The 13,267-nt window shown below is 34.8% G+C and overlaps 1 protein-coding gene across 2 annotated transcripts in view; it reads left to right on the top strand.

The window, feature by feature from the left end:
- Positions 1-13,267, top strand: part of RELN (reelin) — a 517,870-nt gene that overhangs the window by 348,726 nt on the left and 155,877 nt on the right. For both annotated transcript variants that reach the window (NM_173054.3, NM_005045.4), the window contains exons 17-20: positions 324-390; positions 4,465-4,698; positions 5,347-5,508; positions 10,757-10,993. In NM_173054.3, coding sequence (NP_774959.1) covers positions 324-390; positions 4,465-4,698; positions 5,347-5,508; positions 10,757-10,993 — 700 coding nt within the window. The remainder of the gene's footprint in view (positions 1-323; positions 391-4,464; positions 4,699-5,346; positions 5,509-10,756; positions 10,994-13,267) is intronic.

Raw genomic sequence — 13,267 nt, 5'->3', positions numbered from 1 at the left:
CTAATGAAAATAAACTTTGTAGAATGTTCAAGGCAGAAGCGCTAATATTGTCTAATAGACTCTATTAAGAATTCAAATCATAAGCTCCTATCTTCTTTGATATGAAATGTTAAAATCTTAAAAGGATTATCTGTATAACTTGTGACTGTTTCAGCAGCTTTGTAACTAAGCACTTACCTTATTACACAGCATTCCATATGTCACCCTGGGTTCCTGCACACAACATACACACAAGGGGCCATATTTCATGAGTATTACTTCACAAAATTGTACTGGTAGTGTTCTATGTTTTTGTAATTATGTTCTCTTTTTCCCTCCCACAGTTTATATTGGCCCGTCATGTCTCAAATTCTGTTCTGGCAGAGGACAGTGCACTAGACATGGTTGCAAGTAAGCATCTTAAAATAACACTTATGCTTCTCCTTTTTGATGTGTAATGTATGTGTTGAAGTCGCAAGTCATTTAATAACCTTTTTTAGGATCGGGGATCTTTTTAAGACAAAAAGTTGGATATTTCTATTAGAACTTAAGTGTAATTCAAATGTATTTTTAAGTGAAAATTAATACATTTTATATTAGGCTAAATTGTGGACAAATTTAGCATTCCTCATGTGAATTTGTGAACAAATTGGAATTCCTCACAGCTTGATGGCTGCCTTTCCTGCCTGTAGTTACATCCTTTTCCATAAACTTGTTCGGGTGTTCATGAGTCACATTGTAATTCCTAGCATGCTTTGTAAATGATTGTAAAAATCAGTAATGACCCATAGATCCAATGCTAAAGGAAACTGGACTGGACCAAATTTAGCAGATTTGATAAGCAAATTCATCATCTTTAAATATAACTTAAGCGTCTTGTTTACTTTTGAAAATCATTTGAGTCTTTAATAAATTATAAAGTATTTTACAAAACAATGCTGTTGAATATAAAGTCTGAAATTATACATTAATAATGTAATATCTAATTACCACCAATGAATTATTTTATGTTTATACCAAAAAATGGATATTCACATTTATTATGTCATTCTTACATTAATATTTAATTATAAAATATTCTGGGAATTCCCAAAACCACAGGCAATCTGTAATAAAGATAAGTGTTCAACAGCTGATCATCTAGTCTACTTTTTCTTGTCCCTCCAACAAAAAGAGTAATTAATCAATTAGCTAATTAGTTAATGAGTAGAGAACTCATAAAAGAGCTTTGAACCTGGATCATTTAGAAATTGTAGGCTGGGCATGGTGGCTCATGCCTGTAATTCCAGTACTTTAGGAGGCTGAGGCAGTGGATCACTTGAGGTCAGGAGTTCGAGACCAGCCTGGCCAACATGGTGAGACCCGATCTCTACTAAAAATACAAAAATTAGCCGGGCGTGGTGGCGTGCATCTGTAATCCCAGCTACTCGGGAGGCTGAGGCAGGAGAATCACCTGAACCCGGGAGGTAGAGGTTGCAGTGAGCCAAGATCGTGTCACTGCACTCCAGCCTGGGCGACAGAGTGAGACTCCATCTCAAAAAAAAAAAAAAAGAGAGAAAAAGAAAAAAAAGAAATTGCATGTATGAGCCAAGCGCTTGTTGACATTGAGATTAGTGTGGCTTTTTAACTTTCTAACTATATTTCAGTGAATTTAGTTAACAAAGAGATCACTTTTCCCAATGGAAATTTTTTATAAAGTATGTGAAGAATTGAAAAGCTTCCATCTATATTTCCAAACTGAATATGCATTCCTGTGTTTTCTAGTAAAACTACCAACTCCCATTCCAAAACACTGGTCAGTAGATCTATGAAACATTGGCTGATATCTTCCTCAAGTTGTTATGTGCATCCATTATCCATAATCAGACCATCTTCTTAGTGTATTTCAAATAAAATTAACATGAGGCCAGATAGTTTTGCAAATCCTGATGTTGTCCTAAAAAGTTTTGGGGAAAAAAATTACCTAGAATGACAACTTTTATTTTCAAAAAATAGAAAGTGGCATTTCTAAAAAGACCTATCCATAATTACAGTAGTTATACTTCAGACTTCATTTTATGTGTATCATATTCCTCTTAGAATTAAGTGGTTTCATTAAGGCTACCATCTATGCCACCCATGGTGGATACAAACAAATCTAAATGGTAGCTTTATGCTTTTGGACATTGTTCTTTTTTGACACCATCCATTATTCCGAATAGTCATAGTCTTTTCCTCCTTCTGAGGTTTTATGGAATATTTTCACCATTTAGAACTTTAGTGTTTTTCCCTATTTCTAACAATGTTTTATGTAATATTCATTGGCTTTGTTCGCTTACGGCTGGGCTAAAAGTTTGACTACTACCTCCTTTTCCAGCAATGTGTACCTTATTGAATTTGAGCAAAATCACACAGAAAAGAAATGTATATGTAATACCACTTACTTCCTTTAAACAAATCATTGAATCTGGGACCTTTGCAACTTTATATTTTTCTCTCCTCTTTACTCCACCTCTCCCCCGTGTTTTACTGCTATTTGCTATCAAGATTCTACTCTCTCATGTTCCCTCTAACACTTTCTGGCCTGTGTACAATCCCAGGCCTGGTTCTCTAAATGGACACACTACTAACCTGATAAGCCCAACCCTGTTAGAGATGCTAATGAGGAGACAGAGCATTAGAACCCCTTTCTTCACGAGTGTCATCCATGTAGCTTAACAGTGGGGTGATTTTCCTGACATTACAGGGTGACTATACCGCTAAATTTAAGCATGTGTAGATGGATTAGTAGCAGACATATTGGGAGTCAGGAGAGCCTCGTGTCATACCCGAAATCACCAATGTGTGTGACCTTGTTGTTTTGCTGAGAAACAAAGACTACAAAGTTTTTTGTTTTTTTTAAAAAATATTTTTAAAAAACTACTTTATCTTTATCAGCATTATATCTCAACTGAATAACCTTTGATTAAAAGTAGACTTTTAAAACGACTAAATGGAAAGTGACTCCAATGTGAGTCATCTCTAAACGATCACCAGTTTCTCCCAGTCACTTGTCCTGAGAAGACACATTTAAGATACACAAAAATGTAATTGCCCTAAAATGCACTCTGGAATAGATAGTCTTGCTAAGGAAAATTAATTCCAATTCGTGACTGTGGTAAAACACATTCAGTTTCCTGACTTTAAAATGTGTTCAATTTAGCTGATTTTAAAAATTCTTTTTTGGAAACAACTTGGCTATTCAGTCTAAGTTCAGTCTAAGTCCATTAGACAACATGTGAAAGAAGGCTCATCCAGTAAATATTGGCTTTCCTTTCATCCCCTTATTGATGCTACTTAAGATACCAAGACAACCTTCAAACTTCATGCTACAGTAGTTCTTAGCATTTTAGGCTCCAACTTATTTGGTAATCTGATAAAACCTATGGACCTTCTCCCCAGAAAATCCAATATACATAAAACTGGTCATTTGATTTAGCATATTTTTACATTCCATGGACTCCTTGAAAGGCCAGCATAGACCCAAGTCTCAGTAGTACTGCCAAAGAAGTATCCTGAGTCATGCCATAGTATCACTTCATTGGTACACTTGCTTTGTAAAGGCTTGTTTCAGACTTCAGCAAGCTTTGAATGCTCCCATGAGAATCCCCCACTCAAAAAGATACCAATTGAGCAACATTATAAATGTAGTGAGAAGGAAATAGCACAGTAAAAACAAATAATTTGAAACTATTTCCTGATGAATAATCTCCTTAAAACGTAGATGTTTCCATTGCTGATTCATCTGTGATGAGGTTTTCTCACTGATAGAAAACTTGGGGCACTCCTGTATATTCTAGTCAGCTAATATAAATACAGCACATTCTTACATAGAAGCAAGCAGGTTGTTGGGGAGTGGGGAAAGGTTTGTTTTTCTTGAAGTGCCACTAATTTGGGAGAGTCCACTGAGAGGCAACACAGTTCTGCTAAGGACATCTATCTAGGTCAAGGGTGTACACATTCCCTTTATACATCTGAAATAGTTAAAGATAGATTCATTTTCCAATAGTTTCTAAATATTTAAATTAATTCCTATCACGAACATAACATGTATTTTAACATTTGTTCTTAGAAAAAATTTATTCTGGGTATCTTATTGGAAGTGCTTTATGCTGTTTCTTTTATAAATTTAATGAGTGTTATGAATAAAATTATACATAAACCTTTTACAGATATTCTAAGTTGGAAATGTGTATGAACATAGATGTATTTTAGATAAATTGCTGAATTACTGTTTTAATCGTAGGCTTTTTATGGGAGGGCTGTGCAAATACTGTATTTGTCTGGAATATTTACAGTCGATTAGCCCTTATCAAGTCTTTAGATTCAGTAGTCTCCAAAGACTAATGAGCCTCATTTACCATTCAATCAAATCCTAGTCTCTGGACTTCTTCCTCCCCAAAGTAGATTCGAGAATCTCCGAAACAGCCAACAGTTTAAGATTTAATTTCACCATATTTCTTTCAGGTGTGACCCTGGATTTTCTGGCCCAGCTTGTGAGATGGCATCCCAGACATTCCCAATGTTTATTTCTGAAAGCTTTGGCAGTTCCAGGCTCTCCTCTTACCATAACTTTTACTCTATCCGTGGTGCTGAAGTCAGCTTTGGTTGTGGTGTCTTGGCCAGTGGTAAGGCCCTGGTTTTCAACAAAGATGGGCGGCGTCAGCTAATTACATCTTTCCTTGACAGCTCACAATCCAGGTGAGTGAAGGCAGGGTAGAATACATACAAAAACCAGATACTAATGTTGAATTTAGTTATACTGTCCATTTTTATTTCTTATATTTTTTCTGATAGACATCTCATTTTTAACTAGGGTTGGAGGGAGCCTACAGTTTATTGAGAGTTAATTTGCCCTAGTTTTTAGTAAATTAGGAGGCTCACCAATGACTTGGATATTAATGACTGACTAGGTTTTTTAAAATATGAAATGTTAGCATCAAAACTATGTTCTTAAGCCAAGAGCTAGTTAATTATTTATGTAGTTTTATTGATTTGACAGCTTGAGGAGGCTGATTAGATTTACTCTACAACTTCCCTTCCCCCAGTGTCTAATAAATAATGCAGTAAAGAAGTGATTGGCATTTTAAGTGTATGTACACAAGTACATAGTATACAAGTGTGCATAAACATCCAGTTATATTTTTATGGATCTATCTGTACATAAAATATGTATATCAACATGTACATAAATATCTACACATATTCATATATCTAACAATGAAATTACTTAACATTTTGTAAAAGAGGGGTGAGTAGAAACATAATTTGAAATTCTTTAAAGACCAAAATGAACATTATGATTAAAAATGTTTATGCATACACTAATTATAGACAATTTCTGTCTAGGTTTCTCCAGTTCACACTGAGACTGGGGAGCAAATCTGTTCTGAGCACGTGCAGAGCCCCTGATCAGCCTGGTGAAGGAGTTTTGTTGCATTATTCTTATGATAATGGGATAACTTGGAAACTCCTGGAGCATTATTCATATCTCAGCTATCATGAGCCCAGGTATGTTGGAAAGCATTTGGAAAAATGGTTGTAGAGTGAAATCTTCTCCTGGGGAAATCATAATTCAAATGGTATAAAATTCTAGATATTTTTCCATTGACAGATGGAGCGCACAAAGATTGATGTGTCTTGCAGTGAAAAACTACCAAGCCAACCCATCCATTTGTCCCACTGACTTCTGATCATTTGAAGGAATTTATTGTCATAGTTTTAAATATGGATCTAAGGGAAATATTTTGATGCTTATAAGCATCAAGAGAAAAGTAGGCTGGGCGCAGTGGCTCATGCCTGTAATCCCAGCAGTTTGGGAGGCCGAGGCAGGCAGATCACGAGGTCAGGAGATTGAGACCATCCTGGTCAACATGGTGAAACCCTGTCTCTACTAAAAATACGAAAAAAAAAGCTGGGTGTGGTGGTGCGCACCTGTAGTCCCAGCTACTCAGGAGGCTGAGGCAGGAGAATTGCTTGAACCCGGCAGGCAGAGATTGCAGTGAGCCGAGATTGCACCATTGTACTCCAACCTGGCGACAGAGCGAGACTGTCTCAAAAAAAAAAGAGAGAAAAGTAATTAACACTGTTTTCCTTATTTAACTATAATGTAAACTATTACACAGGAATAGAATATGGCACTAAATTATAAATGCTATTGATAAATACTAGTGATATATTTTAATATGTTGTAATAAATTATATTATATATATCTTATAACCAATATGTTATTAAGATTTACATGTAATATAGTTAAGCAATGAATACAAGGAAATTTTTTAGCCTGTATAGTGTCTCTGGCAAAAATGGGGTGTTAGGGTTTATTTAAAGCCCTTTCTTCAGGCCATTTCTATTTTTCTTTAGTATATAGATTTCATCATATATAGTATCCGTTGTCAGATTTAAGTCTTACTTGAAGCTGGGCTATCTTTCAATGTTGGCAGAATAGTAACACCATTAGTGGTACAATTTTAGGTGTGTCTAAAAGATCCTTTCCACTCCTAAAACTTATTGAGCTACTCACTGAAATTCCTTTAAAAATATCAAGGGATGAGGAGGATGGGGAAAGCTTAAAATTAAGGTTTAAAGTTAAAATTCCATCAGAGTAGTTGATACTGTGGCTTACATTCACAGTCACATATAAATGGAGTAACATTCCACTTCACTTCCTGGAAGTATATTTTAATCATGAGGAGATGAGAAAGACAGAAGGATTTGGACACGAAAGTTTGCATTGGCACCCTGGAAAAAAGACAGGGTTAAGGAAAGTAGGAGAGAGGGGACTGAGGATATATTTTATATATTTTACAGTTTTTCCTAGAACTGCCTCCATATTTAAGTATTTGCAAATAGATGAGAACTTTTATTTTCATAGAAAATGAAGTAGCATGTAACAGATAATGATTAACATCTATTATAACTTATAAGTGTTATACATTATAAAATTTTAAGAATGCACCAGCTGTATTGGGTATTTTCCCTGTACAGGTAAAAATCTAGTGCTAAACTCAACTTTCTTACTGAGTAGAGACAAATGAATCCTAAAGAAACCTTTCATAGACTATCCATAGTAACCATTAAAAGAAAATTAAACAAAAAATCAAGGTAATGATGATGAAAGCATGAAGAAAATATCACCATCCTAAGTTAAGTTGGCCTAAAGCACAATTTTTTCTAAGAAAGATGGACAGCTGCAAAATTCAGTAATCAATCTATATCATGAAATTTAATTAATCTTTGTTGATATGAAAAATAATTACACATTTAATGTGCTATTGCAAAGGCGCGTTTAATCTTGCCTGCCATTTGACAGCAACATTTTTCTTCTAAGAATCAAGGTAGCTTTTCAGTATTAGATATGTGCATGGCTTGAAAGATTAAGATCAAAGTGGAGTTTTTTTAAAAGGAGAACGTGGTAATGGTAGCAAAAACGCCTTAATTTTCTATATATATATATATATTTATCTCTGTCCATGAGATTCTTCCTCCCGCCCCCTCTCTCTTACAAATATTAATAAAAGGTGACATGGCAGAAGGGGAAGTTGATACATTCTAGATAACAAATTATATTTTATATGATAAATAATACAAACCATGTAAATTCTTCATAAGAAAGTTAAATATATCTTGATGCCTTTAGCTATTTGCTATATTTCCTTCAGTGTAAATTGCTGCCTGTAATTGCCGTGAATTCCATATTGCTTCTTTATGCCATTGTTGTTCAAAAATGAAGTGTGATTCATAAATTAGACATGCTAGTTGGCTAACCACTATTATTCCTCAACTATTTTAAATAATTTGCTTGCCTATGATTCATTCAGTAAATAAAAGAACTCTATCTGCTTGTTATTAATAAAAATTTAATATATCTAAGTTAGTCTTTTAATTCAAACTGACTAGAATGTCTTGTGAACTAATTGGTATTTTTATTAATTTAAAATTATGTGTCACTGGTGAGACTAAAATTATCCTAGCTTTTCTTCTTAATTATAGGGCTTGTTTTTACTCTAAAATTACTATGAAGTCTAATCTTAGTTTATTTTTATGTCTTGATTATTATATTTAATCTCCTCTTTGTTCTATCATGTCATCCAATTCCATAGTGTATATCATTGTAAAACATTTTTTAAACAATTTGATCTTATATTTGGTCTCCTCTTTGTTTCTATATGTCACCCAATTCAATAGTACATATTACTATAAAACATTTAAAAAAATCTATGAGGTTAGGACCTACAAACAAAAGGAAAATTGAGGCAGAAAGTTGACTTAAGTCTCTGTGTTCTCTTCTAGGAATATTCTGATCAGACAGTTCCACAGCTATTCTAACCAGCCACTATAACTTGCAAAGAGTGGTGAAATCGTTAGGAACTCCCCCTACACCCAAAGATACGATGTAGAAGTTAAGAACAAGGCTCTAGAGCTAAGTTCCCCAGGTCCAAATCCTGGCATTAGCACTTATAGTCTGCTTAATCTTAAAGAGATTATTTAACCTCCTTGTGCCTCTGTACTCACATCTCTATCAGGCATATACTGATAATACGTACTATGCAGCAAAAATTTGTTGAGTCCTTATTATGTGCCAGATACTGCTCTGGGTACTAAGGTATAATAGTGAAAAGCAGACAAAAAAATTTCTGGCCCTTGCCATAAGAATAGCATTATTCTAATTTCACAGATAAAGCTGCTGAGACACATAGAAGCCAAGTGCTTTATCTACAGTTACAAAATCATTAACCAGTAGGAGTCAGAGTGGGAACTCTGGCCCAAGAGTCTGATTACAGACCCGTAGTCTTAACACCTCTGCCGTGAAAATATTGGTCACTTCAGTCACCAATATCACATTCATATACACTATTTTCCTTAAAAGTTGCTTGGGAAATTCTAGTTTCCAGTTGTTATGTTAAAAAATAATACTTTATTTTCCTTAAAAGTTGCTTAGGAAATTCTAGTTTTCAATTGTTATGTTAAAAAATAATAATTTATTTTCATGAGAGAGAATATTAACTGTTTTTATAATTAATATGAAGAAAAATTATAACTTTCTAATAACATAATGCTAAACAAATTATTAAATCCATGACTGATATCTTCATTGTTAAACCAGTTTAAATATAGTTTATTTAGTTTCTTTCTATATATTATGTAGTTTTATAAATATATGCATTTGTTTAATAAACAGATTTGAAAAATTAAAATTGAAAATTACTAAAATACTTAATTTAACAAAACCTGACTCTTCTAATAAATTTACACTGATGAAAAATTTTACAGATTTTAGAAAGTATTTAAAACTCATAAATGTATTATAGCTATGTATTTTTAGTTTAAGAAGTGTTTTTAGGGCCAGGCACAGTGGCCCACGCCTGTAATCCCAGCACTTTGGGAGGCCGAGGCAGGCAGATCACGAGGTTAGGAGATTGAGACCATCCTGGCTAACACGGTGAAACCCTGTCTCTACTAAAAATACAAACATTAGCTGGGTGTGGTGGCATGTGCCTGTAGTCCCAGCTACACAGGAGGCTGAGGCAGGATAATCACTTGAACCTGGGAGGCAGAGGTTGCAGTGAGCTGAGATTGTGCCATTGCACTCCAGCCTGGGCAACAGCGCAAGACTCCATCTCAAAAAAAAAAAAAAAAAAAAAAAAAGAAGTGTTTTTAAAGTTTTATTTCTGTATTTGCATATGGATTTTCCTTTATTTAGAAAATATGTTTTCTTCTATTGGAAAATATGTTTTCTTCTATTGCAACAAGTCCTACCAGTTCTGTACTGTTTGTATAATCAATGGTGATAGTCATGTTAGTCTACCCCATATATCCATGTACAAATTATTTAAAGGAAAAATAGGTAATTATTTTTCTAAATAACTTTCAATATGTAAAACAGTACATTCCCAAGAGGTGGTTTAGCGTGTTTCTTCACACAATAAAAATATGAAAGCCAATCCAGTTTCTCAGTAAATTCAGCCTTAGATGTTGAAGTTTTAAAATAATTTCTTTCTAAGTTATTCAACTAGTCACCTGGCTTAGGAAGTTTTTATTTGCTCATTAGTTAAAAAACAAAAAAAAAAAAAACAAAAAAAACAAAAAAATAACTCAGCCCTTTCAGTGTGTCTTTAATGCAAGCACCTTTCCTGGTGTTTAATTGTACTTTGACGGTGACAAATGTTCCATTTGCCATTTGCTTCACATCTCACCTGTGTATGGATGCGATCAGCATGGTACTGTGATTTATGGAGCTTTCAAGTAGGTGTCATTGCAGTGGCAATTAATATATGGTTCCCGCTGCTGTGTACAATAATCGCTCCTGGAAATTAGATATTATTCTTAATTTTCTTCCCCATTTGTCAGATGCAGGTTTATTGTCATAGCTGCCATGACACAGCAGATGACCTCACACACTATGCTAAACTCATGGGAATGAGGAAGTGTCCTGGTTCCAAACAGCCAAAACTGTAATATGTGTAACAAGCTGTCCAAGATCCTTTACTAGACTATGATGAATACTGTCACTTTGACCACCATGTTTATTGAGAGCTTTTTCAAAAGCAGATGAGTGAAAGCAAAGTTACATTTTGGGGTGTGTGTGGAAGACTGTTGGAAACAGACAGGAAACTGGACATCTCAAAAAAAAATGTTTATAATCATGGGAGAACTATTTCTTTAATACTATACTTCAGGGGAAATCTATCCCACTATAAATATTTGTGTTTTAAGATACCAAAATAATCTAAATTTTGACTTTTTTTTTTTCTCTAGAATAATCTCCGTAGAACTACCAGGTGATGCAAAGCAGTTTGGAATTCAGTTCAGATGGTGGCAACCGTATCATTCTTCCCAGAGAGAAGATGTATGGGCTATTGATGAGATTATCATGACATCTGTGCTTTTCAACAGCATTAGTCTTGACTTTACCAATCTTGTGGAGGTCACTCAGTCTCTGGGATTCTACCTTGGAAATGTTCAGCCATACTGTGGCCACGACTGGACCCTTTGGTAAGGATTTCATCATTGTTATTGTTACAATTTGCACTAGGAATTAGAACATGAGGATGATCTTCCAGTCTATTCAGCATTTAGTCATTTGTTGACAAGTATTTACTAAATAGGAACTACTTGAAAACAGAACTACTGTTTTCAGGTTGTTACAAGTATGTCTACACAACCCTACTTGTTTGTCTACAAGTAAAATGTCTTGTAGGACTGAAAACAAAATACTGATAGATTTAAATAAACATAAAATTTTCCCATATTTCTTAATCTCAAATTTTAATTTCCCACAATTACATATTTTAAAAAAAAAAACCTCTTCAAAAAGTGTTAGTTATTAAAGTGATGACCATATTCGCCCTCAGAGGCCCATGGGGTTTATAATGAAACATGAAGTCACTCTAGTGACTATTTTAATAAAATTTATCATGAGTAGCTCTGTTTTCATGCTCTCTTATATAAGTCCCCAGAAGTATTTTTAGCCATGATTGGTTAACTAACATCTCCTTTTTAATCCATGTTATCAAACACTATTGGACCAGTGACTCATATAGTTAATGCCATTGGGGTTTCAAAATTGTGGGATAGCCTAATTAAGTTACCCTTCATTTTTAGATTTTTCCTCCTGTGGTCATATGCGAATTTAATTATACAACAAACAGTCAATAATTTAAAGGTGATTAGTACTTCATGTACATCAGTAGGATAATACAACAGTGTTGAGTAGGCTCAGGAGCTGGCTACTTTACATAGGAAACTCCCGAGAGGCTTCTCGGAGAAAGCTACCTTTGTGTAGTTCACATGGTGGATATAACACATTCTACTGATTGGAAAGTGGGAGAACATGGAAGCTCCAGCCACATAAATATCTGGAGGAAGAGAAATGCAACTACAGGAAACTGCAGTGCACACAGTTCCCCCAGGCGAGAGTGACCATGGCGTATTCAAGGACCAGGAAGGAGGCCAGTTGTCCTGGAGACCAGGTAGTGAAGTAGTGAGTGTCAAGGAAACCAAGAGATGTGCAGAGGCCAGATCTTTTAGGGTCTTCTAGGCCCAGAGATCCTGGACTTAAACACAGTCCTGCATGATTCCAAAACCCACAACCTTCACCACTGTGTATACTGCCCCTCTCTAGGTTCCTTTAGGACTGGAAATATGGTTGAAGAATAATTTTCTAAAAGACTTTTATTTTGTATTAAGTCATGGTCAGACCAATTTAATTCCTTCAGATGAATATCACTGAAAGCTATTCACCACTGTTGCCTCCAGAGAGCATATCATAAATGACCCATCAGTGACCTTATCATAATTAGAGGTAAATTTTACACACTATTGTACAGAAAATTACCTTTGATGGGACTTGTGCATGTATAGTCAGATCTCACACACAGCAGGCTAAAATTCTAGCATCAAAATGACAGCTAATGGAATGGAAGTACAGCTGGTCACTTTTGCTGCAAGCACTGTCAAACTGGATAGAATGAAATTTCTAAATTTCTATAAGACAAAGTAGGGAAGGTTATATTGCACATTTTCTTTCTGGTTTTGTTTTGTTTTGTTTTTCTGAGACAGAGTTTCGTTCTTGTCACCCAGGCTGGAGTGCAATGGTGCGATCTCAACTCACTGCAACCTCTGCCTCCCGGGCTCAAACGACACATTTTCTATTTGATAGCCTCAGATGCTTGTTTTTACAGATGTTCTTTCTTAGTCCTGGAGACTTTAAAGAAGATAAACGATTAAAGCAAAGAAGGTGTAAAGATGTAGAACAAAATGAGATTTCTTAGAATTTTATGCTTCTGAACATTTAAATTGACCTGAATTGACAGTAATTCAAACTGATCATGTACCGTAAACTATATCCTTCAAGTTTGTATAGAAGAGTTTTTTCCTAACACTTCTAATATAACAAAGAATCATATCATGAATGCAAGTCCTGTATCATGTTTATTTTCATAAATAGTTAGCATCTGCTCAGATAAATGCAAAAGTTGCTGAGCATTTTAATTTAACACTTGCATTGAATGCATGATAACAGCAGTTTAATTTCTGTGCTTTGATCAAAACCCTAAGAACAATATCCCTTCACACAAGTCTGATGAATATTCTTAACCCACCACCGCTTTAATTGGTGGAGATACATTTACTTTGTGAAAGTACAATCACAGTAATTATAGAAAAACCATAAGAAAACATAAATAATTGTACAATCCCCATGGGCACCTTGAGCAGCACCATAGGAGTTTTATTAACAACCACATGTGAGCAATCGATTTGACTTTC

This window comes from Homo sapiens, chromosome 7 (genome assembly GCF_000001405.40).
Source record: "Homo sapiens chromosome 7, GRCh38.p14 Primary Assembly".
Lineage (NCBI taxonomy): Eukaryota > Metazoa > Chordata > Mammalia > Primates > Hominidae > Homo > Homo sapiens.
Note: the sequence above shows the minus strand (reverse complement) of the source record. Positions and strands in the feature narration are given on the sequence as shown.